General features: G+C 36.8%; 1 protein-coding gene across 7 annotated transcripts in view, besides 2 other annotated features; it reads right to left on the reverse strand.

Moving 5' to 3' along the window:
- OXCT1 (3-oxoacid CoA-transferase 1) overlaps positions 1-25332 on the reverse strand; it is a 140361-nt gene that overhangs the window by 81455 nt on the left and 33574 nt on the right. The window lies entirely within an intron of this gene.
- Positions 9588-9882: a silencer, noted in NCBI's record as "tiled region #14906; HepG2 Repressive non-DNase unmatched - State 24:Quies". NCBI's record gives its function as "represses a minimal TATA promoter and a strong SV40 promoter by Sharpr-MPRA in HepG2 cells {active_cell/tissue: HepG2}" and the evidence as "EXISTENCE:reporter gene assay evidence [ECO:0000049][PMID:27701403]".
- Positions 10453-10954: an enhancer, noted in NCBI's record as "NANOG hESC enhancer chr5:41822074-41822575 (GRCh37/hg19 assembly coordinates)". NCBI's record gives its function as "activates a minimal SCP1, AML or CMV promoter by ChIP-STARR-seq in naive H9 embryonic stem cells {active_cell/tissue: H9 hESC(naive)}" and the evidence as "EXISTENCE:reporter gene assay evidence [ECO:0000049][PMID:30033119]".

Consider the following 25332-nt stretch of genomic DNA (forward strand, 5'->3'; position numbering starts at 1 on the left):
AATGAAGAGAAAAAATCCAAAGGAGCAAGAAAGTGAATATATTCTTAGGCTTCATGCTAAGGAATGATAGGACCAGTACAAAAACACAGAAAAAAATGGTATGAAAGCTAAAAGGGCCAGAGACAGATACATATGGTCTTAGATGTCTATAAGGAAATGCACAAAGACTGAAAAGTTGAGGGGCTACCAATGAATTTGCAACCTTTAAAATGGTGGTACATATGGTTGCATAGTCATTGAAACCGAGTAGATGGGAGCTCATGCCAACAGACATTCCACAATGTCCAATGAAAATAAACCTAACAAAAAAGCATGTTCTGCCAAGAAAATATGCATAACACCTGGGATGCCACAGACCTAGGCATGAAGTGTGGTGAGGAATATTTAAAGTGAGTTTAAAAGGAGAAAGAATATCACACTTATGGTCATATAATGCCCAAAGATATAGATGTTATATTTGTAACAGAAGTGACAAAAATTGGCTCAAATAAGAGATGCCAATTATTTGAACATCTTCTATTCATCACAGTCTGCTGATAACTCTGTATTGCCTTCTGGTCATTTCTATCTTGCAGAATAAAAACACTGAGAGAAACCAAGATTCAGGACCTCTAACGAATAAGAATAAATTGCTTGGTAAAGTAGAAATGACAGAAATTTTGAGGAAAAAAATGACAACGTAAAATTGGAATTGGAAATAGACCAGGAAGTGAATCTTAAACGTACACAGAAATATATCCTGGTCTTTGAAGAAAAAAATTCAGTAAGTTCAGAGAAAAGAGAAGCAGGATCAAGAGGTCAGAAACTCAAAATCACAAATGGGCTTATGAAAGATGAGGATTGCAAAACTTCCATTCTGACAATATGAAAAAGGGTTATATTGATGAGGAAGAGAATTGCATATAAAGAAATGAATGTAACAACATGGATAGCTTTGTGTTTCTTCGTATTTTATCAGGGCTCCCACAAAAGAGACACGTATGACCTAGGACAAATGGAAGTCAAGAGACCTTAAGAGGTCTATCAAAAGATACAAAATCAGAATGAGATGAGGACTCCTCAAAATGCTCAAGATAAGGAAAGGGTGGCTCCTGGGGTGATTTTGTTTTTGCTGCCACTGCTGGAGAACTTGAAAATGATAATCACTACTGCTTGGGCAGAAGACAGGAAAAAACAGAGCAGTTCAATTTTATTTTTTTTCCTGACTTCACCAGGGAGAAAGAAAGTAGAACTAGTATGATTATGAAGAAATTCAATTCCAAGAAGAGCTACCCAGATTCTCTGTACTAATACTAGGCTGTAGACCCACAACATCTATATCCCAGGACCCTTAAAGAGCCTGAAGATACGATCACAGAATTACAGTCAAGCGAAAAATGGTAGAAGTGTCAACTGAGAGGCAAATATACTCCTTTCCAAAAGGGGGGCTCAATCTACAACAGTATTCTAAAATGGATTATTATATACATGGTCTAGATGGCCATAAAGAGAGAAAAGAATTGGACAGCAGTCTAAGTCTTCCACCCAATTAAATCATGTCATATGATCTTCATTAATTTGTGATCAGGCTAGAACATAAGTGGGCCAGGAAAAAAGCACAGTGTGTAGTTTCACAGAGCCTCTGACCAAGCCCTTCACATAAGAGTCTTATAGACATAGCAGGAAAATGTGACTTGAGCTCATTCACTTAAAATCAACAAATACAAACTAAGCACCTACTAGATTTGGCAAGGAAGAAAACAGAAAAGGTGTATGCTCTGGTGTACAGATAGGTAGACAAATACTTGAAGAACCATAAGTATATGGTGGCTTGATAAAGCCTTAGGGGGAAGTCTTCAGTGCTGTGGTTTTTATCTTTTGAGGGCAAATGTACTACTTTAAGAATCTCATGGGTCAATTCACATACACAAAGGTTTCTTTAGGTATAAAATCCTTTGAAAGATTCCATGGAATTATTCCACAGACATCTGTCCACTCCCATCCCCTAGCTCCAGCCTAGACCCCTGCTCTAATGGTTTGATGTCTTTGTCCTACGCTGTTCAGTCAACATATTTACAAGGCTTTAAATGAAGATAAGGAAGTCAGCATTATAGTTAAGGGGCAAGGGTTTGGGTGCATCCCTTTCTCTAACAGAGAAGACAGTCTGACGCTCATGCCTCCAAGTATTTACTAAAAGAGGTGACAAAAACCATATTCAGGGAGTTGAACCACTCTTTTAAATGCCCCAAGAATGGTATGCCCCTAGAACAAACCAATTACCTTTATGCCACAGTCATAAAGAGTCAGTTTTTCTTTCTTGCAATCAAGTGAGTTATTTCTTACCATTAAAACATAGTGCCTGACATAAAACTGTCTGGTTGTAGTAGCAAGAATAGTTGTATTTCATCTGATCATTAGCTTTCTTTTATATGTACTATTAACTATATAAATACTTTGATTTTTATTTGGCATCCCAGGCCTCACTCATGTTTGTCATTATAGTATCAATTTTTAGTCCAATCCTAGGGTCACTGTACAGTTCTACCATTCCTTTTCATTCTTATAGCTCTGTTCCTAATTGATGCTATCATGTATATTTATGTCTTATAAGCTATTTTAAATCATCTTTGGGAAAAAAAAAACAGGTAAAAACTAAACAGCACATTTATCAAATTGGAAACTGATCCAAGGCCAGAAAGAATAGCTAATTCAATGAAGACAGAAAATGATCTCTACTGGTTAGGGAAATAAAATGGGTCAGTGTCAACTGAATGAACTTCAGCAGGGATCAAAGTTCATATCATAAAATACCTGGCCTAATAGTTTTTTGAAATGCAAATAGAAAGGTTTAGCTAACCACCAGCACAAAGACTATTAAACATGACAGAAATATTCCAAACACCATGCTGCTATAGACACGTGCACATGTATGTTTATTGCGGCTCTATTCACAATAGCAAAGACTTAGAACCAACCCAAATGTCCAATAATGATAGACTGGATTAAGAAAATGTAGCACATATACACCATGGAATACTATGCAGCCATAAAAAAGGATGAGTTCATGTCCTTTGTAGGGACATGGATGAAATTGGAAATCATCATTCTCAATAAACTATCGCAAGAACAAAAAACCAAACACCGCATATTCTCACTCATAGGTGGGAATTGAACAATGAGAACACATGGACACAGGAAGGGGAACATCACACTCTGGGGACTGTTGTGGGGTGGGGGGAGGGGGGAGGGATAGCATTGGGAGATATACCTAATGCTAGATGACGAGTTAGTGGGTGCAGCGCACCAGCATGTCACATGTATACATATGTAACTAACCTGCACATTGTGCACATGTACCCTAAAACTTAAAGTATAATAATAAAAATAAATAAATAAATAAAAAGAGTCTTCCTTTCTCTGTTTGCTGTCCAGCCTCAAAGTTGGTGATAGCACCTTCAACCTAATGTATCTCATTACAAAACAAAAACAGTCCTTCCTCTCTACAATGTCTCATTGTAAAACGCAGGATGTGAAAAATGGATAAAACACTCTGAACTCTAGAGGAAAAGCTTTATCTGAAATAACTCAATTTGTTAAAATTGACTAGCAGCAAAATTAATAGCTTATATATTAAATCTTTATATTATACAACATCTGACCCATAATGATCTGAAAAAAGTAGAACTGTTACTTCATATACCATCCCAATTGTTTTTGTAATGTGGAAGAATTGTTTTAAAAAAATAAAAAATAAAAGCAGTCTAAGACAAGTATTTTCATTTCCACTGACTCAAACCAAGCTAAAATAGCAAAATACCAGCATTGATTAGACTAACACTTTATTTTTATTTTATTTTACTTTTTGAGATGAGATCTCATTATGTTGCCCAGGCTTGTCTCAAATTCCTGGGCTCAAGAGATTCTCCAGCCTCAGCCTCCTGAGCAGCTGGGATTACAGGCATGCACCACTATGCCCAGCTGCTAACATTTTTTGTTTGCCCAGAAATGCCAATCTTCTCTTTATGTGTGACTTAATAACATTCAGGCAATATTCTAAATATCTATATTTCATTTGTCATATCTCTTTTAAAAAAGAAATTTTATTAGGACTGTGGCAAATCCAGAGAAATAATTAAAATGAATACATCTACCCAAAGGAATTAAAATACATCTAACATGTTCATTCAAAGCACCAGTCTTATCTATAATAGTTTTTAAAAATTACACCATTATCATATACCCCAAGGAAAACAGGGAGACATAATATAATTAATAGAATTAAACAAGGAACATTTTTCAGTGAAGAGAGTCATAGAGAAACAGGAAGAGAAAAAGTTCGTGTTGGGTTTTTACAGCTACAGAAAGGCTGCCTATTGGTAATGCCAACTAAAATTTAAAATGTTACTCTAAGACTATTTCCAAATGTTACTCTAAGACTATTTGAGGCTGTTAATCATCCCTGAAGCACTTCATAGTGCAGGAACACAATACTTAACACATAAAATGCAAAATGGGATTGGGTTAAACCCTAGCATTTCCAGAACACAGTTAATGGCTGCTAAATCTAACAGATTTGATTTGAATTCAGCATGAGGATGACTCAACAGTCCCTAAATTTAAAATTGTTTAGCACGTGCATTAGAAGAGCTTTACTTTATTCATTTCATCTTTTAAATGTTCTCCACGTTTTCATTTCTCTAGAGCAGTAAGCAGAGTAGAATCCTACATATTTCATTAAGAAAATTAAGATGCCATGTTTGTTTTCCCTGATTTATATGAGGTAGATATAAAATGGAAAAATAAACTTTAAAACAAAATATTTCTTCCTCTCTGTGGTTCAGTTTTCAAAACTAGATCTTTAAGTCCTAAAGAAATTCAAACATGTTTATCACATTTCAACTATGACTTTAGCATGATGATCAAATGGCTCTTAGTACAAGTAGGGAGATGCACAATCAGTTTTACTGCTGGCAACACTTGGTTCCAGGCTTTTCTAACTCACTGAATTTCAGCATCTAGTCATCATGGGAAAGCAAGGCAAGTCTTAATTCTGGTGTTAAGTTAAATAATTCAAACTTAAAGCTTGTGGAATTTTAAATCATTCTGACCCTTGAGAGGAGTGTGGCTATGCAGCCGGGGTCACTTGGCATGCCGCTGCAACTTCTGCCTTTTTTTCCTATAAATAATTAGAAAGACCAAACAGCACTAGAGATAAGACCCCCTTAAGATCACTATCTCTCCTTATGAAGTAATAAACTAATCTTCCTTGAGTCATATCACTACAACATATGATCTGGTCTCATATGAAAAATGTTGTAGTACTGCTGGAATTTCTGTTCCTCTATGAGTGAAAACTTAACTTTTCAATGTTGGAATGCTAACCCCATTTGTTTAGAGTGTCTCCTCCGTGGCTACCCTCAGACTGTACTCAAACTCTATACTTAATCATATCTTCTGAATCTCATTATTTATAGTTGACAATAGCCATCATTCGGACAATGACTGAAATCTACCATGAGTAAAGCTGATCGAGGTCCCAAATCCAAAATATCTTCCTGGCATATAAACTCATTCCCAAAACTCAACACCATATTTGAAAACTTAAGTATGATGATTAAAAGAAGAGTAGGAATGGTTGATAAAGAACAGCAATTTATTGATGTCAATATTTAGTAAGGGACATTTTAGTCCATATGATTCTAATGCCATGTATTTCACTGAGCCTTCCTATAGTTAAAAAAAAAGACAGTATGATATAAAGAAAGTACTGGATTTGAAGTCAGAAGACATCGATTTGTGGTTTCAGCCCTAACATCATCTAATACTATGTTCTTACATGAATCACCTAAAGTCATTTCACCTTTAAAATGAAAAAGTTGAACTGTAAATGAAGCCTAATATTCTTCCCAGCACTTGCATGACCGTTAAGTCTATACTAGTTCCTAGACATTCTATTACAAGACCATAAAGTTTGCACATTATTGTGTAGTATCTTTCTAATTATTCTGGATATTGAACACTCTAGATTAATGTCATCTTACTGGACATATCTGTTAAATGCAAAACATGATTTTAGTTCCATGCCACGCAGCATATCTTCAATACCCCTCTGTACTTGTGTACTTGCTATATCCATCCTTTCCTGACCAAACAGGCTGTTGAATTTACAAGGCCAGTTTATTTGCCAATTCATTACTTTATAACCCTTTGTATAACTAGGTAACTACCATATGGCTTATTCTGCTTTTGCAGAGTAATAAAAGCTTACTGAATGAGACACACTATACCAGGCAGTATTAAAAGGCACACCTTGAGATAAAATGATCCCAGAGAAGTCAGAGGAAACTAGGCACAGTAATAAGGAAGGCAGTTACAGAACAGCTGGTGGCACATTATCAAGTCTCTCAATGCAGGACTGACAATGGCCTCAAATATAAAGCCATCAGGAAGAACCACTGAACATAAGGCATTTTTGCTTTCTTAGACCATGGCAGGATAATGTCAATCAAGTAAAATCCATAGAACATTTCTAAGCCTGCAAAGTGTTGTGTATGTTTTGAACCTGCTGACTCAGTGACTCAAATATCATTTAATGAGCAGCTATTATGTCCCAAGCATTGTGTTACATGCTGGGACTACAGAGATGAGTAAGACAAGGTCCTACAAAGTGCTCACAGTTTCATGGAGAAGACAGGTAACCAGAGTATCACAATAAAACATGAAAATAAGTGCAATAATAGAGGGAACATTCCACTAACCAGGCAGAAAATTAGCCACAAAAAGAGGGAGAACATTCTAGGCAGTAGGAATGTCAAGGGCAAAGGGTAGGGAAGGATGTGATCTCATGAGAGAATGTGAGGATGTGTTACTTGTCAAAGGACCTAGGGTACACAGGAAATAAAAGCATTGCATCAGAAGTTCAAAATTTTTATTCTGTGGAATGAGGAACCTAATTTTGGAAAAGCTATCAGAAATGGTAATAGCTAACTGAACAAAAAAGGAAATATGGCGTCCTTCACACTTCAAAAAATTCACAAGAGAGTTCACTTTAGCTAATGATGCTGGGACAGTCTCTTCTGATTATTGTGGCTTCTCACAAGAAAAAAATTTAACATATTGGCAATTACCTTTTCTCGCTTTTATTAATTTTTGGTTGTGTACCTGGATTTTCAAGGGGCCTAGTAAAAGGCCAGATATTTGCATATGTTCTAATATTAGGAGGCTGCCATATGCTGCATGCTCATACTACACTAATACATGGAAAAACGTGTTTATAAGACAAAAATTAACAAAAGGGGTCAATGAATCATATTTATCACTTTTTCCCACATTTCTTACTTAAATCATTTATATAAGCCATGACTTTAAGATGCCTTCTTTTAGCTTTGTCCTTGAACCAGAAAGATTTGAAAAGTGACTCGTTTAAAAAAAAAAAAAGAAAAAGAAAAAAAGCAACTAATTTTTCAAATGAAGCAATCTTGCATAAGCCCTAATTATCACTTCAGTATTTGTAGACTAGATCTATATTTGAAGTTGGAAAAAATACCATTTTTTGACAAGGTCTCTGGAAGGAGTAAGGAAAACCACTATTATTCTTAATCAGAGTGACTTTAAAATCATAAGTTATATTCTTAACACAAACATGAAATAAATCGATAAGTAGGTCAAAAGTTGTTAAACCAAAAGAGAGCAAAATTAGGAAAAGGAATCCATGTCATTCTTTGTATTAAGATAATTTTTTTTTAGGAGAACATCCCCTCAGTTTGTATCAGTGACAGTGTACCTTATTTAATAATCTTTCAGGAGGGAGTATCACGAACATTCTAAAACCATTAATATGCTAGTAATGCCCTCTGGCTCTTCCTTTTTTGGGGGGGATTGGGGGGGCAGGGGGATGGAGTTTCACTCGTTACCCAGGCTGGAGTGCAGCAGCAGGATCTCAGCTCACTGCAACCTCCGCCTCCCGGGTTCAAGCGATTCTCCTGCCTCAGCCTCCTGAGTAGCTGGGATTACAGGCATGCGCCACCACACCAACTAATTTTTGTATTTTTAGTAGAGACAGGGTTTCGCCACATTTGCCAGGCTGGTCTCGAACTCCTTACCTCAGGTGATCTGCCTGCCTCAGCCTCCCAAAGTGCTGAGATAACAGGCGTGAGCCACCTTCTTTTTTTTTTTTTTTTAAACACAATCTATGTCCTCATTTGCAACAAAATTGTTAATTATTTTGTGAGAAATCATGACTGTAAGTTTTAGAGAGCTATCTCAAAACAATGAATCAACAGCACTTGACTCACACCTTATTTTATGAAGGGGCTCTGTGGGTATAGCTGCTGGCCATGGTTACCTTCTCTCTGGGAATCTTACCCACATTTACTTCCGTAACTGGTTACTGCTCTGGGTTCAAAATGTTCTTCTTTTTCTAGTCTACTAACTACAGGCAATCAAGTTCTTATCCTGGGTCAAGCAGCCAGGAGGATTCTCCAGGAAGCTGGGTTCTAATCTAGAGTGCCTGGCTCCAGAGCACACATTTTAACCATACCCTGTACCTTTTCTTCCCTCACACAACTCCTCAACTAAGTGGGAGGTTTAAGAACACCTGGGAATAAAATAATAGTGACATTCCCATTAAAATAAGACACAAAATCACAAAAGAAATAGAGTCAATAAATATATGAAAAATATTCAATGTCTCTTGTCAAAGATATTGAGTTAAAACTATAGGGTGGCATTTTTCACCTAGCAAGTTATCAAGTGTTTAAAGTATAACATCCATGTTGTTGAGAGTAGTTCCAAATGATACTTTTATATATCACTGAGGGGTTATAATTGAAATTATCTTTCTAGAGAATGATTTCGCAATACTTTCCAAAACCTTAAAATGTTGATACTCATATAAAGAAAATCTACTTCTAGAAATGTGGTCAAATAATCAGACATGCACAAAAATAATAATCACTAAAGCATTAATAGTGAAAGATGGAAAACATGAAAGTCCAACAATAGAATTGTTGATATGTTTTACTATAACTTAAAATATCTTTCGTTAGGGATTAGTGAACTGCAAAAACATGCTTAATGTTTTATGTAATGAAATATATATTATAACTAAAATGGTCCCTATTTTATAAAAAGAAACATTAGGTATGGACAGTAATTAAAGAAAATCAAGCCAAGACACTTCCATGTTTTCTCTCAAGTCTCTTTGTTCCATGCAGAAAGTGTCTCCCCATCCCATTATGGCCCATCCTGACCCAAATGTCCCTAGACCTGTCAATCAAGATGGCAAGCGTAAAATGCCTTAAGTCTTCTCCTTCCTTCACAATTGACCTTACTTTTCTTGTTTATCTGCATAAACAAGGCCAAGAAGTGGAGAGGGATTGGGTGGGGTTAGTGCCATACACTCGCAGCAAACCACCACCATCAAGATCCCACAGCAATTACTATCTTTATCACTAAATTGGGCACTCACTGCTCTATGCACAACTTATTTTCAGGTTAGTCCTACCTCAACTAGATTGTAAGATGATCTAAAACAATCACAGTGTCTTATGTAGCAAATCCTTAACATTTGTATACCTAATAGCCATGTTGTTGACTACATCCCCAAGCAACTCTGAAAGTAGCAATTTGTAGTTTTGGTAAGCTAGAAACTTCACTCAATATGCAGCTGAAATGGACTTCAAAGCCAATTACCTGTCTCCCACATTTAACCAAAGTATTGTTTTTATCTACACAGGGACACACATGCAGTCACTTCCTGAAGAAAACATTGCCTCTTTATGAAAGTCAGTACACAGTGCCAATAAAGTGGTTCTTAGATGTTTAGGAAAAATATGAGAAATGAAATATAAAATTCAACAATGGCTCAGAATCAGAGCATGAACAAGTCTATCACATATTCTACATGGAAACAAAAATAGGCAATTTATTAATCTTTCAGGAAGCATTCCAACCAACATAGTGATTTAATTCCAAGGAGTGTAATTGCTGGATTATTTGGTAAGAGTTTGTTTATTTGTATAAGAAAACACCAAACTGCGAAAGAAGCTGTAGCATTTTGCATTCTCACCAGCAATGATTGAGTGCCTGTGATTTTACATCCTCGTCAGCATTTGGTTGTTAGTGTTCTGACTTTTAGCCATTCTAATAGGTGTGTAATGGCATTTCATTTAGGTTTGCAATTCCCTAATGATATGATGTTGAGCATCTTCTCATATGCTTATTTGCCATTTGTGTATCTTCTCTGGTAAGGTGCCTGTTCAGATTTTACCTATTTTGTGATAGGGTGATTTTCTTGTTGTTGAGTTTTAATTGTTTTTGCATATGTTTGACACCAGTCTTTTATAAGATACATGTTTCAAATATCTTCTCCCAAACCAGAGTTTGTCATTTTTTTCCCTGTACAGTGTCTTCCACAGAGTAGTAGTTTTTAATTTTAACGAAGTCCAACCTATCAAGTGTTTTTCTCTCAGGGATCATGTTTTTATCTAAAAAAGCATGGCCACTTTTTTCTTATTTCCGATGAGTTTTCTATTTTACACTTACATTTAGTTCTTTACTCCTTCTTGAGTTAGTTTTGTCAGTTATTTTAATAGAATTTAAATAAGAAATTGAGAACCAAAAAGGCAAAAAAGCACGCAGGTGACACGGATCTAGTAACTGCAGGAGGAACAAAGAGAAGTAAATGGAACTGGTGATGGGGCCAGGGGTTTCTCAGAGCTGGGATTCAGACCCCTACTGGGAGTGACAGGAGGCAGCCAGTACTGGTACTTCTGAAGCTCATGAGGCTAGTTCTGCGGTAGTGGTTTGGGGGTGGGAGGAGACCAGAAATAAGAACTGCCACACCATAAACACTAAGAATTTTTCTGTTTTTGTGGAGAACTGACCTCTTTATCATTATGGACTAGCCCTCTTTATCCCTAATAATTTTCCTTGCTCTGAAGTCTACTTTGTCTGAAATTAATACAACTGCTCCAACTTTTTTTGCTTTGTTGTGTTTTGAGACCATTTCACTCTTTTGCCCAGGCTGGAGTTCAATGATCTCAGCTCACTGCAACCTCCAACTCCCGGGTTCAAGCGATTCCCCTGACTCAGCCTCCCAAGTAGCCAGAATTACAGGCGTGTGCCACCATGCCCGGCTAATTTTTGTATTTTTAGTAGAGACGGCGTTTCACCATGTTCATCAGGCTGCTCTTGAACTCCAATCCACCTGCCTTAGCCTCCCAAAGTGCTGGGATTACAGGTCTGAGCCACCGTGCCCAGCCTAATTGCTCCAGCTTTCTTTTGATTAATGTTAGAATAATTTTTTACATTCATCTCTTTACTTGTAATTTGTGTCTGTATATTAAAGTGGATTTCTTATAGACAACATACAGCTGAGTCTTGTTTTTAATCCACTGTGAGTCTTAATTGTTCGGACCAGTAATGTTCAAATTATTTAGTCGGATTAATATCTACCATATTTGCTACTATTCTCATCATTGTCCTTGTTCTTTATTCTTTTTGCTCTCCACTCTTTTCTGCATTCTGTAGTTTTAATTAATCTTTTTCATACAATTCTTTTTCTGCTTTTTTTGTTACACTTGAGTTTGCAATATACATTTACAATTAATCCAAGTACTCTTTCAAATAACACTATATCACTTCACAGGTAGTGCAAATATCTTAAAACATGGTATCCCCAGCACTTGTCTCTTATAACATTACTATCATTCATTTCACTTGAAGGCAGGCCTTGTTAAAAAGAGAACGCTCTGGGTATATTTCAAAATGTCCACTTTTCCCCCCTCCCCTTGCCAGAAGCACAAGGAAATTTTCCTTTGGTCTTCACCAAAACTCTGGTAGGGATCCTAGACATAAAACTCACAGAAATATGAAGCCCCTCCCAAGACCAGACCACTCTGGAGTCTAACTCTCAAACTTGTCCACATGAGCCTCCAACAATTCATCAATTACAGTTTGAGCTTTTCTACCCCAGGACTGGTTCCCATGGAGATTTCTGCTACTAGGCTTCTGCTCCAGTCAGTTGTGATTCTCCGTATTAGCCTGTCTCTCTCCAATTTGGGTGGCAGTGGTTTGCCCTGTGACTTTAATCCTCTGACGGATCTAAGAATAATTGTTGATTTTTCAGTTTATTCATCTTTTTTCTTATTGTGAGAATGGGTGTGGCAACTTCCAACCTCCTGGCACGTTAGGCCTGAAATTGGAAGTGGCTATTTTTTAAATAATCATTACCAGTAGTTACTATATAGAATCCTAAAGTTTCTATCTTGAATTCAAACAACTATATAATACTATCTACCTCATTTTCAATTGGGGGGAAAAAAACATTCTGTCTTCCTAAATGTGAAGGTTCTCATTTTACAGCTTTTAGGAGATTATCCTATTTCATATTTTCTAAAAGGTTAACATTACTGAACAATTCTTAATTTTGCATTTATGAAAGTATTAACATTATCCTGGGGCTACACTAAGTTAACTGAAAAATTCAGTCAGCTAAAGGTCTATGAGCCTGCAAGTAAGGAGACTGTAAATTAGATAAAAATGTTAACATTGCAAAGCATAATGTAAAATGCACCTCAAAATATACCAACCGTCATTTGTTTTTGCTTCAGAACATAAGCTTTAGAGGCACAAAGAAATGTTTAGATCTTAACTCTTCCCCCTACCAATTTTGTTATCTTAAAGTCTTTCCTTATCCTCATTTGTTCTTCTATAAAATATACACAATAAAACCTACCTCACTGGGTTACTATAAAGTGCTTTACATGTAAGTGCATGGTATAAACAGAAGTTGTTGCTATTGTTGTTTTCATAATTATTAGGCTATATATCTCCTTCAACTTATATTACCATTATTGAAAATATTTCAAGTATAGCATCTACCACACTCTGTGTAAAGCACATCTTAGCTGTATAGAGTCTACTTGGACCATTTCACTGCCCCTATTTCCTGGGAATGAATTTCATTAAGAAAGTTTTCCATTCCATTTTCCTATCTCCTTATAAAACCTAGTCCTCAATTTACATATAAAATATTACCTTGTACATTAAAAACATAAACCAAAGAGGAAAAATAAGTGAAAACATTTTGAGTGCAAACATATTCAGATGCCAAGAGCACTGAACAAAAAACTATAAATAAAACAGCAGCTAAAATACTTTTTATAGCAGAAGCTGAGTTATAAAAATGTCTTTCAGATTCTACTTAATACTACTTTTATTTCTAAAGGTCTAATTCCAATTCTAAGAAGACAATTCAAGATGAATGAGTTTTGTAAATTCCTCAGAGAAAGTTAAATTACACCAAAACTTTCAAACTCATTCTTAATCTCATAGCTTTTTATAGTTAACCTGTATTCGCCTGAGTTTGGTAATAACGATGAAATTTTCTTCTGAGTTTTGTCTGTGTCGGCAAAGCTTTTCCAAAATTTAAAGTGAAATTCAAAACTGAACAGAACTTTTTCACAATACATGGCAAAACTTGTATCCTTTTCTGCAACTATTAAGGAAACTAAAATAGATTCTTTAAATGAATCACCCAGATCCTTTTCACAGAAGGCACAGAAAAGGTAGCAGGGTTCTTCACATTCCAGTTTAACTTTCCTCAGGTAGGATTTGTATTTAGAATTCTCTTCGAAGAACCCAAATATGTTCTCAGTGGCAGAAACACTGTATATTATCATTAAACTTCAAAGGCTGAATAAGAGAGAAGGTGACCTATACTTTTGGACATGAGTGGTTGAAGAATCTGAATGTGGACTTTGTTACTCAGTGGCAGAAACACTGTGTATTATCATTAAACTTGAAAAAGCTGAACCAGAGAAGGTAAACTCTAGTCTTAGACATGAGTGGACTTGATTTCTTCATGGAATAAACCACAGAGTAGAAGACCATTACATTCTAACAGTTAAGTAACTCTTGGTTCCTAGTCTTAGGAACTGTTAACTGTTTTAAAATATTCCATCCAAAAACAAAAAGATATTTTCATAATTCTATAAAAATTCAATAAGGCAAAGCTATCATAAGGAAGAAAAGAAAACACTTCCTTCCACATAACTTACATTTTGGACCTTAAGTCCCTCTGTGTTCAGGGAGTTGTATGCCCACAGGTGAACAGAAAGCATCAGTATCTGAGGCCCTCTTTATTTATGTCCCCAAAAGAACAACAGATGTGACTTTCATTCAAAAGAAGTCATATGGCTCTTGCCTCCTCTCTCATCACATGATCTCTTTGTGCACACCCACTCCTCCTCCAATTTAGGCCATGAGTGGAAGCAGCATGAGGCCCTCACCAGACACAGCTACCCAGTCTTGGACTTTGTACCCACTAAAATCATGAGCTAAGTAAACTTTTCTTTCTTAAAGAATAAAAAAGTCACAGTGGTTATTCAGCACAAGCAAGTTTTAAGCAGGAAATAACTTTAATCTTCATCCCAAACCAAAATATGTGAATCTTTTGAGCCAAAGTATAAAAAGAGATAAAATGGGTCATTAACTAATGCTCCATATTTCAAATACAAAGGCAGAGAGAGGTCATCAATTTGAGGGTGTACAACTCAAGCTATGAAGTGACAGATTTATAAGAACCTTGCTCTCGTGAAGGTGTCCATAATATTCCCCTCAAGAGTCATCACAGTTTTTGCTTGATGTAAGGTATCAGCATGTTTAAGTTGATTTTATGGACTTCAAATATTGGTTAGTTTTCTGAAGGATTTAAGCTAACAATATTTTTAAAACAAAATTTAGTTTTTTGATCATGCACTAAGATTTTAGGAATCGGAGGCATTATGGAATTTTTATTTTCTCAGATAAAGAACTTTGGAAGACAGGGAAAGGTTACAGAGGATGTGCCTTGCCAGCTGCCATTTACAATGTAGTTCAATAGTCATCATCACTGGGTCAATGAGAACAGTCATCTAAGGTTTATTAATCAAAGCAGCGGGAGGGATTAAGGTGAGCATGTAGCATTTTTAAGCTTTAGAAAACACACTGGAATGCTCTATCCCACTGATGCTCAAAATAAACCCATGAAATAAGCAAACAACAGAGGCTGTAAGGAAGACGAGATTCTAAAGTCATTTGTCTAAGGTTGCAAAAGTAGTGAGAAACAAATCTTAATCTCATATTCTGTTCAAAAAAAAAATGAAAAGAAAAAAGATAAGCCTCCTCAGGATTAGTCCCAGAGCTTCTTTCCCTAAGTGATCTTTTCCATTCCATAACCCTAACTCAAGTATTTGTGAATTATTCCCAATTGTATAACTACCTTTCCGACCTCCCCTCTAAGCACTACAATAATATATCCATCTGCACCTGCGTCACCACCATTTGAATGCCTAAGAAGCCAATCAATCCTAAGCGAGCTCTTGATTCACTCCAACAGGATCATCCCAGGTTTCCCCGTCTCAGTAAGTGATGTATCATTGCTCAAGCCAAGTGTAGGAGTGAATCTCTACCTTTCCTCTATCCAAGCTCTCCACATCTAAGGCCTGGGCATGTTGGATAGATTCCTCTTCCAACATACCGTATCTCTTAATGCTATCCTCCTCTCCACCACTCAAGTCCAAGCCACCATTCAAGCTCTCACCCAGATCACATCAGTCTCCTCATTGGTCTGCCCCTTTATGCCTCTAAAGTCTGTTCTACAAACAATACGCAAGCTAAAATTATGACCTTTCCAAATGCACTTAAAATCCAAGCTCCTACAAATGCCTATATACCTACCTACATTCAGATTTTTATAATTCCTACTTATACATATCCAGAAATAAAGCCTCGATATTGTCAGAGCAACCAGAAAGTCATAGAGAGACTCAGGACTTAATCCAAGTCTTCCAAGTGTCCTTTACATGCCATTCAACTGCCCAGTCATCGAGTCCAGGAAATTTATCTATGTCAGTTTTCTCATTTACAATATTGTAATAAAGCTGCTTCTCCTCCAACTTCACCTGGTGATTAGAGGATCCGATGAGATACTGTATGTGAAAGTGATTTGAAAAGCCCAAAGCATTATGCAAAGTAATATCAAACACAAGATACTGCGGAAATGGTGCTCAAGTGTGAAGTTCTGAACACTGTTTATAAGAAAGGGGAGTTAAATGAATCTAGCTAAAATAATTGACTTGCCATTCATCACTAACCTTGGCTGTTTCAATCCTTTTCTGCTGCTTAAGAGGATCGGTGCAAGACAAGAAAGCACATTGCTACCCTGGGTAAACTTCCTGATTTGAGGCTTTACCTTACCAACAAATAAGAAATAAATAAGTCTTACAAAAGTGTTTCTGACCAAAAAGAAAAGAGAGAGCTACAAGGCAGTTTAGAAAACTGGTGGGGGAAAAAAAGAGTAATCAGCCTCACCATCCTCAAAGTCTCTCCAACACTGTTCTTCCGCCTCCTAAGGTGCTGATGATACAGATGAAAAATCAGAGACATAGGGCCCTCCCAAACCCCAAGAACACAGCATGACTTCAACCCTGGACTATTTCTGTAGCTCTTGGAAACTCTGCCAGCCAGCAGGAGCTACAGCCACATGCTGGACACTAGTCAGGCTGGAGAAGATTCCACCCATCATCCTGGTTACTGACATTCATCTGGCTGTGCAATTTTTTTTTGTTTTGTTTTGTTTTTGAGATGGAGTTTTGCTCTTGTTGCCTAGGCTGGAGTGCACTGGCAAAATCTCCTCTCACTGCAACCTCCGCCTCCCAGGTTCAAGCAATTCTCCTGCCTCAGCCTCCCGAGTAGCTGGGATTACAGGCGCTTGCCACCATGCCTGGCTAATTTTTTTTTTTTTGCATTTTTAGTAGAGATGGGGTTTCACCATGTTGGCCAGGCTGGCCAACTGGTCTCGAACTCCTGACCTCAGGTGATCCACCCTCCTAGGCCTCCCAAATTGCTGGGATTACAGGCATGAGCCACTGCACATGGCCAGGCTACACATTTCTATACATGAGAAACTGGCCGTCAAGTATAAGTCAAATAACCAAGAAAAAGGCAAGTGCTTCTAATAAAATGAGTCCATCAATATGTAATTATATCATATTAATGTCAGATCTATTGACAGAGGCATCATGCTTTTAAAAGATGGCAGCAACTACAGCTGGATACACAAATTTTTTGCACAAGATCTTCCCTTCATAGAAGCCCCAAAACCAGTCCCACAAAATTGCAGTCATTTCTCGACATCTATACAAATTCACATTATTCTAATTAATTTTCTATTCATTGTCTTCAAATCAGTTATTTCAGTTCTATGTTGATCCTTTAAGAAATACTGAGTAATTTAATATATTCAGACTACAGAAATAGAAGTTATGCTGTAAATGAAGGGTCTGCACACTTTTTTCTGTGAAGGATTAAATAATATTTTAGGCTTTGCAGGGTACACACTGTTACATACTTTTTTAAAAAATGGTCTTTTCAAAATTTAAAAATATTCTTAGCTCTCAGACTGTATAAAAACAGGCCGTGGGCTGTATTTTGTCAATCCTTGTAAGTAATAACTGTGAACCAATATTACAGAGAAAAAAAAATGTTCTATACAACATGAATCAGCCTCTCTTTAATACAAGCCACACTAGTTCAACAGGCTCTCCTGATGTCCTGAATTAGGAAGTTCTATATTAGAGAAGGATGAGGAATATGCCCTATTTTTCACGAGGCAAAAAAATTCCACCCAGATATTTCTCTCTTCTTTAAGTGGTCAAGGATAAAAGATGTTCAATAAGGACTATGAAGTATCACTTATAATGTGCATATTTATAACATTTAAAAGCCTGGATTTACATAATACAGGTTAATAAAAACACAAATTTGAGGCCTGAAAAATTATAAAGACAAAAAGCCAAAAATAGCTAGGATAAAATTCACCAATCCATCAAGAAAGGGGGATATATTATTAAAATGACTTTCTTTTAGGATCTCTATATAAACTATAAAAAATAGCTCCAAAATTTTGTGAGGATAATGGCATACAAATGACTTGCTGTAATTGGTATTTTTACCTCACAATGCAATGAAGTCCATTGTACCTGAGATAATGGAACTCTCTCGCATTACTGCAGCATTGTTACCAAGCAACAAGAAATAAAATGTCAAGATTAACACTTTGTTTAATATATTTTTATCACCAATAAACTATTTCTATTCTGCTATTCTTCTGGGTGTAAATGGTCATTAAGCTAAGAATTATATTTGTTAATATACAAGTGTATGTAAAATAATGCAGTAAGTTAATACTAGGCATTCACCAAGTCCATATTTTTATATTTATTACTTCCTTGGTAGAAATAGCAAATATTAACGTAACAGTAATTCTATTAGGTTATTTTGCCAAACTACTCAACTACAATATGTCTTCATTGAGTACATCTTCATTAGCATCCAAAATTTTCAAACCAATCTAGCATTTCATGAAAATTCAAGGAAACGAATGAATTGTCTTTAAATACTTCAATACTCTTGAAACAAGTATGATCAGTCAGTTCATTCAGTATGCTTATGTTAGGACATTACATTTTCAAAGCACTCTATACCTGGCTAAATATGTGGCACAGAATTTACAGATCTCTTTAAGAATGATTTAGTAATCAATTTTAAAAAGTCCAAAAGCACAAGTAAAATATTATAACTGAAAAAGAATAAGGAAAATAAATGTAAGTTGAAGATTTTATATAATTTACCATGTCTAAAAAATCAAACTGTGTGAATGATATCCATCACTAACTACATCCATCCCAAAAGTTAGCACTTAGGAAGGTGATAGTATTCTGCCGAAGGACTAAGGATTCTTCAGAAAGGGTTGGTGGAAGGAAGGTATTTCTTTTTTCCATATTGTATCAAACAGACACCTTTTTCTTTCTCTTAAAAGAACTTGTGTCAAGTGTTCAACTCAACTGGCTGATGTGAGTAGATTCAAGAAGATTAGGAACAGTTTTTTGCTAACCTCATTCTACGTAGCTAACTGAAATAGAGAGCTTTAACCAGGTAAATTCTAAAGTGCAGCAAAGAGCATGTAGCATAGTAAGTTCACATAGTGAATGCCAAATTTGACATTTCAGCCAAGTTCTTATAAATATGCCTCCATATGTCAGAGATGTTTGTGTGTGAATGAATTTCACACAGGAATGAGCCTGCGTATGGATGTGTGTGTTCTTGAAATGGGATCTAATGAAGTTTTTCAACATGGTGAGAAGTCTTTGTCTTATCTGGACAGAAGCTTCATTTTTCTTCCTATCCCAACATTCTTTTTATTGCCTCTTGAAAAATTATGAGTTCCACTGCTTTTAAAACTGTATCATTAGGCATTAGCAGTCTAAAGAATAAGAAAAATTTAAGAGAGAAGGAATTATGCTTACTCTTTAGGCATTTTCATTTCTCTAAAGCAAGAAGCATGATGCCCCAAATCTCTAAAACACTGATACATTAATTGGCCTGCTTAATAATGAAAATTAAATGTTCATAGGATCCACTTTAGTGCTTAAGTCACCTGGTTAAAATCTACTGCATTCCCACCTTCTATTGTAAAGTAAAACAACCAGCTTGATCACTTCTAAGATAATGTATGAGGAATTATTAACACAAAGCTCTCCAAACAGGGCCAGAGTCACAAATACCAGGAGGCTCCAATGTCAAAAGTCACAGTCTTTGAAAAACATATTGCCATTATTCTCAAGAAAGTTAATTCTCGTAAGACTCCACACCCTATGACCATGCAATGAAAAAAGTTTGTCATCCCTGTTCTCCAAACCACCAGGGAAGCTCTTGCCTCAGGCCTCTGCACGCACTACTCATTTGGCCCTAAAAGGCTCCACCATCAGTTAGCTGCAAATCTAGCTTCCTCTCTTTCTTGAGGCCTTTACTCAGAAGTCATCTCACCGAGGCCTTTCACTGTACCACCCTAAGTTTCAGTTTCTTTCCCTGAAATATCAGGTCCCTTTTCATGCTTTGTTTTTCCTCCCTTAACACAGCAATATCAAATATACTACATATTTTACTTATTATTCATCCTATTATCAAGATAGACCATCAGAATGTAAACTCCATGAGGGCAGTGAGTTTTGCTTTGTTCACTGCTGTATTTCCAGAACCTATAAAAATACCTAGTACACTAGAATTTGAGTATCAGTGAACTTTCCTTAAACTATCTTTGCACTGTAATATCTGGTACTTGCTTCAAATCAATTAGAGGAGGGAGAAGGCAAAGAGATGGGGATGTGAATGGGGCAGGAGTGACCATGGGTTGATAGTCATTGGAGCTAAGGTGTTGGGCTCAGGAAGGTACATTATACTCCTCTGCTTACTATTATATATGTTCATTATCCTCAAAAATAGACATTTAAAATGAAAATTTGTATTATCAGTTACACTGCAATCTTTACCTTTCCTCACTCACCAATCAGAAACACTACATGTCTGCTTGGCAGGATGGCAGACATACCCATGATCTTTTCCTCTGATTAACCTCCTAAAAAGAGATGGAGAGGTGGTGGAGCAAGATGGTGGAATTGAAGCCATTTGTCCACACCTCAGGAGCACCAAATTTTAACAACGATCTGTAAACAGAAAAGCACCATCACAAGAACCAAAAATCAGACAGCATTTGGGGAACTCACAGCACTGAAGGTAAGAATGCAGACCTGGCTGGCTTCGCCACCTGTTTATTGTAGAGCCCTAGGGCCTTGAGTTAAAATAGGTGGTAGTCAGGTAGTAGTTAACAGCAGGCCTTGGGCAAAACCCAGTGCTGTGCTGGCTTTAGGCCTGACCCACCACAGTCCCAGTGGTGGTGGCCATAGGGATGTGTTTGTATCACCACACCCCCAGTTCCAGGCGGTTCAGCACAGAGAGAGAGAGAGAGAGAGAGAGAGAGAGATTCCACTTGTTTGGAGGAAAGTAAGGGAAAAGAACAGCAGTCTCTACCTGGTAACCCAGAAAATTCTTCTGGATATTATCTAAGACCATCAAGACAATACCTCCTACAAGTTTACAAAAACCACAGCAATTATGGTTGGAGCCCAAGTCCCTTTGAATACCTAGAAAGCGTTCCCAAGGAAAGGCACTAACAAGACAAGACCACAAAGACTACAATAAATACCTAACCCTTTAATGCCCAGACACCAACAAACATCTACAGGCCTTGAGACAATCTAGGGAAGCATGACCTCACCAAACAAAATAAGGCACCGGGGACCAATCTTGGGGAAACAGAGATATGTGACCTTTCAGACAGAATTCAAAACAGCTGTTTTGAGGAAACACGAAGAAATCCAAGATAACAAAGAAGGAATTCAGAATTCTATCAGATAAATTTAACAGACTGAAATAATTTAAAAGAATCAAGCAGAAATTCTACATTTGAAAAATGCAACTGACATACTGCTGAATGCATCAGTCTCTTAAATAGCAGAACTGATCAAGCAGAAGAAAATCACTAAGCTTGAAGACAGGCTTATTGAAAATACAGTCAGAGGAGACAAAAGAAAAATAAAGAACAATGAAGCACACCTACAATATCTAGAAAATAGCCTCGAAAGGGCCAATACTAAGAGTTACTGGCTTTAAAGAAGAGGTAGAGAAAGAGATAGGAGTAGAAAAGTTTATTCAAAGGGATAACAAAATGTCCCAAACCTAGAGAAAGATAAACATTCAAGTACAAGAAGGTTATAGAACACCAAGCAAATTTAACCCAAGGAAGACTACCTCCAAAGCTACCTTTTGCGAGTTAATCAAATTCCCAAAAAATCAATGATAAAGAATTCCAAAAGCAGTAAGAGAAAAGAAACAACAGACAACAGAGCTCCAACATGTCTGGCAACAGACTTTTCAGTGGAAACATTACAAGCCAGGAAAGAGTAGCATGACATATTTAAAGGACTGAAGGAAAGAAACTTTTGCCCTAGAATAGTATATATGGCAAAATATCTTTCAAGCATGGAGGAGAAATAAAGAACTTCCAAGACAACCAAAATCAGAGGGATTTCATCAACACCAGACCTGTCCTACAAGAAGTGATAGAGGGAGTTCTTTGATCTGAAAAAAAAAAAAAAAGAATGTTAATGAGCAAACAAGAAATCATCTGAAGATACAAAACTCACTGGTAATAATAAGCACACATAGAAACACAGGATATTATTAACATTGCAACTGTGGTGTGTAAACACTCTTAAGCATAAAGACTAAAGAACCAATTAGAATAACTACAATAACTTTAAGACATAGCACAATAAGAAATTAAGAGAAACAAAAAGTTAAAAAGCATAGGGGTGAAGTAAAAGTGTAGAGTTTTGGCTGGATGCAGTGGCTCATGCCTGTAATCCCTGCACTTTTGGGAGGCCGAGGTGGGTAGATCACCTGAGGTCAGGAGTTCGAGACCAACTTGGCCAACGTGATGAAACCCTGTCTCTACTAAAAATACAAAAAATTAGTTGGGCGTGGTGGTGCGCACCTTTAATCCCAGCTACTTACGAGATCATGCCACTGTACTCCAGCCTGGGCAACAAGAGCAAAATTCCGTCTCAAAAAAAAAAAAGCATAGAGTTTGTATTAGTTTTCTTTTTGCTTATTTGTTTATGCAATTAGTGTTAAGTTTTCATCAGTTTAAAATAACGAGTTATAAGACAGTCTTTTCAAGCCTCATGCTAACATCAAATACAAAAAAAACTACAGATTCATAAAAAATAAAAAGCAAGAAATCAAAGCACCCCAAAGAAAAATCACCTTCACTAGAAGGAAGACAGGAAGGAAGGAAAGAAGAAAGAAGACCACAAAACAACCAGAAAACAAAAAACAAAATGGCACGAATAAGTCCCTACTTATCAATAATAACATTGACTGTAAATGGACTAAACTCTCCAATAAGACACAGTAGCTGAATGGATGAAAAAAGTTAAGACCCAGTGGTCTGTTGTCTACAAGAGACATGGTTCACCTATAAAGCTACACAGAGACCAAAAATAAAGGGATGGAAAAATATATCCCATGCCAATGGAAACCCACAAAAAAAAAAAAAAAAACAAAACAGAACAGGAGTAGCTATACTTACATCAGACAAAATAGATTTCAAGAGAAAAACTGTAAGAAGAGACAAAGAAGCTTATCATATAATGATAAAGGGGTCAATTCAGCAAGAGGATACAATGATTATAAATATATACACACCCAACACTGGGGCAGCCGGATACATAGAGCAAATATTATTAGAGCTAAAGAGAGACAGATTAAAATACAACAGCTGGAGACTTCCACACCCCATTTTCAGCACTGACAGATTTCTCAGGAAGAAAAGTCAGAGACATAGGACTTAATCTGCACTACAGAATGAACCTAATAGAGATCTACAGAACATTTCATCAGATAAAAATTACTAAGAGGAAAATTTACAGCTATAAGTGCCTACATCAAAAAAGAAAAAGAAATAACCTAATGATGTAACTTAAAGAACTAGAAAAGAGCAAACCAAACCCAAAACTAGTAAAAGAAATATAGATCAGAGCAGAAATAAATTTGAAATGAAGAAAATACAAAAGAACAATGAAACAAAAAGTTGGTATTTTGAGAAGATAAACAAAATTGACAAACCTTTAGCCAGACTAACAACGGTGGGGGTGGGGGTAGGGATGAAGACCCAAATAAAATCAGAGATGAAAAAGGGGACATTAAAACTCATAAGAAATTCAAAGAGTCGTTAGTGGCTACTAGGAGCAACTATATGCCAATAAATTGGAAAATCTAGAAGAAATGAATAAATTCCTAGACATATATAACCTATCAAGATTGAACCAGAAAGAAATTAAGAATCTGAACAGCCCAATAATCATAAATATATACACCTACTATGTATCCACAAAAATTTAAAAATTTTAAAACAATGGCACATGCCAGGCACCAGTATAGAACACAGAAGATACAGCTCCCTGAAGCCTGGCTCTTATAAATAAGTCTTAGAATATCACTTTTGAAAATAATTTTCTATATGTCCATTAACCTCTAATTCTTATATTAGATGGGTTCACCGATATTCAATTTATATTGTGATTCATAAACCACACAGGCTACAATAAATATTTGTGTGCACCAAATATCGTATCATCTAAGCAATTCTTTTACAGGCAAACATACCACAATATAAATACAATAAAAGTAATTATATTTATGTCATGATAAATGTACTTGTTTTGACTGAAAGCTGAAGTTAACTAAAATAGTTGAAAGGGCCTTGGGTAAACCTTTGCTGTCTCGTAAACTAGCCATGGCACAAGCCTGACAGCACAAAGAAATCCACAGCAGTGAGGTTATTTCAGTCACAGGCAGCCTCAGCAGCTTCAGTGGCTGAGTCAGACGACCTTTTCTGACAGCACGTGCATGCCAGGCTGCTTGCAGGAGACAAAGCATCAACAGTCTCCTGAGTGAAGCACTCTCATCCCTCCCCATAGGTTTTCTATTACAGGCTCCTTCAAAAAAAAACAGAAATAGGCCATTTCCAGAGAAACTTAGATGGTAGGTTATGCACACAGAAGACTAGCAGAGGGGCTCATAGGGAGTTGAGAGCTTAACACAATAACAGGATTCCTCCTGAGAAACAGCCAAATTAGTTCCCTTTGGAAGACTCAAGAGTCCTTGCTACTCCTTGTCATACACATGGAAGGCAACACCCAAGAGTCATTCCCTGGCTGGTTTTGCACTTGAACTTGTAAAGTTTATCAGGGAAGACTTCACCCTCACTCAAAGAGAGGGAGGTCCAGAAATAACACTGTCTGGACTGAAAAGAGAAACATCTCTCTAGCATGTGTGGCAATATGCGCCCATGTGCACTATTTTTCCCAAGTAGCTACCTAGGTCCATAAGAGGGGTAGGAAGATACAGCCAGCATCAACTGTGTCACAACTTTGTGGGGAAGCATGCAAATGGCTGCACATTTTAAGAAATATGAATGTAATGTTCATATTGGTTTTGTTAAAAACAGACATAAGTGATCACCTCTATGGTTTTACACAACTCATAAGTTTATCTAGAAAAGTGGTCCCCAGCTTTTTTGGCTGGTACTAGGGATCAGTTTTGTGGAAGACACTTTTTCCACAGATGGGGGTTGGGCAGGGACGTGGTTTTGGGATGAAACTGTTCCACCTCAGATCATCAGGCGTTAGTTAGATTCTCATAAGGAGCGAGCAACCTAGATCCCTCACATGCAGAGTTCATAACAGGGTTCCCACTCCTATGAGAATATAATGCCAGGGCTGATCTAACAGGAGGCAGAGCTCAGGCAGTAATGCTCACTCACCCACCACTCATCTCCCACTGTGCGGCCCAGTTCCTAACAGACCATGGGCCAGTACAGGTCCATGGCCTGAGGGTTGGGGCCCT

This window comes from Homo sapiens, chromosome 5 (genome assembly GCF_000001405.40).
Source record: "Homo sapiens chromosome 5, GRCh38.p14 Primary Assembly".
Classification (NCBI taxonomy): Eukaryota; Metazoa; Chordata; class Mammalia; order Primates; family Hominidae; genus Homo; species Homo sapiens.